The 2,466-nt window shown below is 45.1% G+C and overlaps 2 annotated features.

Moving 5' to 3' along the window:
- Positions 937-1,437: an enhancer, noted in NCBI's record as "H3K4me1 hESC enhancer chr2:206752619-206753119 (GRCh37/hg19 assembly coordinates)". NCBI's record gives its function as "activates a minimal SCP1, AML or CMV promoter by ChIP-STARR-seq in primed H9 embryonic stem cells {active_cell/tissue: H9 hESC(primed)}" and the evidence as "EXISTENCE:reporter gene assay evidence [ECO:0000049][PMID:30033119]".
- Positions 1,438-1,938: an enhancer, noted in NCBI's record as "H3K4me1 hESC enhancer chr2:206752118-206752618 (GRCh37/hg19 assembly coordinates)". NCBI's record gives its function as "activates a minimal SCP1, AML or CMV promoter by ChIP-STARR-seq in primed H9 embryonic stem cells {active_cell/tissue: H9 hESC(primed)}" and the evidence as "EXISTENCE:reporter gene assay evidence [ECO:0000049][PMID:30033119]".

Below are 2,466 nucleotides of genomic sequence, written 5' to 3'. Positions count from 1 at the left end.
TAATAAATGCTGGGTGCTGGAAGCCACTGGAATTGTGTGGTTGCCTGTTACTGCAGTAACCAAGCAACAACAGGAAGCAGCAATACAATGAATTGTATCTTAATCATCATAACAACATCTATAGATGTTCGAAAAATGCTGGTACATAGCAGTTGGATTGATGCATGAAGGGGTGATTGGGCAAGACATACCTTTTTTTCTTTTCTTTTTTTTTAAGTTTGTGGGCCATACTTAATGTCCAATCTGAATTAGCAGCTTCCTTGACATAACTTGGCAGTATCAAGGGTTTCTTGCCCTGTAGTTTGAGAATCTCTATCCTAGAACAATTATTCTCCTGCAAATTTGTGGCAATTCAAAAAGAGAATGAATTTTGAGATAGGGAGTGTGGGTTTGGGTCCTGGCTTCTCACATCTTTCGTGTGTGAATTTGGGCATGATCTTTAGCCCATGATCTCTCAGCCCATGTGCCCATTAAAAATGGCTATGACTCTTGCACACAGGGCTGGTTAGGGCCTTAAATGACATGAGCCATGGGGATCTTCCTTCTAATGGTTGTACATGTTATTCTTAGAGTAGCTAACCCAAGGATGGAAGAGTCTTTGAAACCACCATTTCTCCCACACCCCGTCTCCCTTCTCACTGAACCCCCAAACCATCAGTGGAATGCCCCCACTCAGTTTTGAGTTTCATGGGTGGCACTGAGAAAGCACCAAGTCCCTATTAAAGGGGCGGAGGCACTGGCAGCTCTGGCTGGGGCAGGGCAGGACCTTTCATTTCAGATGAAAGTTGATTCAGACTCTGATATCCCAAGAAAATGCCTAACCTTGAATTACCTTCCTTGGAAGTCCCACCAGGTTGACTAGTGGTGGCTTTCTCTTTTCCTGCACCCCCGCCGCCAGTGTGTCTCTAATGGTTCCCCATTCCTTGGACTTGGGTATCTCAGTCCTGGATGCAATGGAACTTATGATAACTGAGTTAATTAGGACCAAGGGGAGCACCATGCCAGGCTGCTTCAGTCACAGCCTCTGCACCTTCCCCAGGTTGGGAGGAAGCATATCCTACCACCTTGGCACCTGCCAGCAAACCTGTGCCCAGGGGAGAAGCTGGAGTGAGGGTTCAGGGTCCCCATTGTGACGTTAGCCCTCTGAGGTCACAAGGTGGATCCCAGAGGGCTCAGACTGGGGAAGAAAGTTATGCCATGTAGAAGTAAATTTAATGAGGTCAGAAGGGTGAGGGGTGTGTGTGTTTGTTTGGGGGTGGAGTATCTTTAAAATGGCAAGAGGGAGGCTGACGCTGCATCAGCTTTGGCCACGCTGCATTTTGAGAGCCTCTGGCGTTCTGAGGCTTCTTCCCTCCTTCCTCCCCACAACTCCCTCCCAGGCCCTGCATGCCTTCCTGCAGCCCTGTTTTTCCCACGTTCGGCCCTGTACAGCCTGATCTGTGGAATGGGGGTGGAACCGTGCGGAGGCTGAGCAAGCGCTGACCACCTGCCAGCACCGTGCTGAGCTCCCAATGTACACGGATTGAACCAGAAATGGCCGGGGATCACCCACTTCACACCCACAAAACCACCAACTTCATATGGTGCAGCCTGACTACCACATTTAATTTCTCAGCAATCTTGAGAGGTATAAGGATTACATCTCCACTTTTCAGATGAGGAGAATAAGTCATCACTCCAAATCAAACATTAGTGAACAACAGAGTGAGAATTTAAGTTCTGAGCCCGGACTCCAAGCCCTATTCAAAACTATTACATGACACCGATAAATCCTTTTATACTAACCTGTAAACAATCAATAACAGCTTCACATGGTACCTCCTGTGTGGGACAAGGCTGGTTCTTTAGGGCATCGCTCAAATGCTGGCATTGGAAGATCCTGGATGCGAGGAGTCCTTTGTTCCTTCAGCTGAACCTCCCAAGATGTTTCTGATTCGCTTCGAGAGAGTCTGCCTGGCTCACCTGCCTAAGACATGGGTAGGAATGGCAGGCAGGTGGGCTAGGCCACAATTCTGCTTCTTGAAAAAAATGGACTGTTCTTCTGATTTAAGAAGTAAACCCTATTCAGTGTAGAAAATGAAAACAAATATAAAATATGTAAATAAAAATGACCAACCATCCTTAGCTAGAGGTAAGGATTGTCACAATGTTTCAGGATTGTACTTTTCACTTATCTTGTGCCTCTCTCTCTCTGTCCTCCTCTCTAAGTGCATAAATACATTTTGGAAGGTGGATCTAGTGTACATATAATTTTCCTTATTTATTAAATCTCCATTTTATTCTAAAGGATTCAGCATGGATTACAAAGGCACATAAAAAATGATAGAACAAACTAAAAGTGGGGTTAAGAAAGACAAATCTACACCATAATGCCATGTTCAGATTTGTATTTTTAACATTTAACATGACATTGAGCATATGTGCCCATTTGCCATTAAATAGACTGTTGCATTATTTTTTAAATGT

Source organism: Homo sapiens, chromosome 2 (genome assembly GCF_000001405.40).
Source record: "Homo sapiens chromosome 2, GRCh38.p14 Primary Assembly".
NCBI lineage: Eukaryota > Metazoa > Chordata > Mammalia > Primates > Hominidae > Homo > Homo sapiens.
The sequence above is the reverse complement of the archived record's forward strand: the minus strand, read 5'-3'. Positions and strand labels throughout refer to the sequence as shown.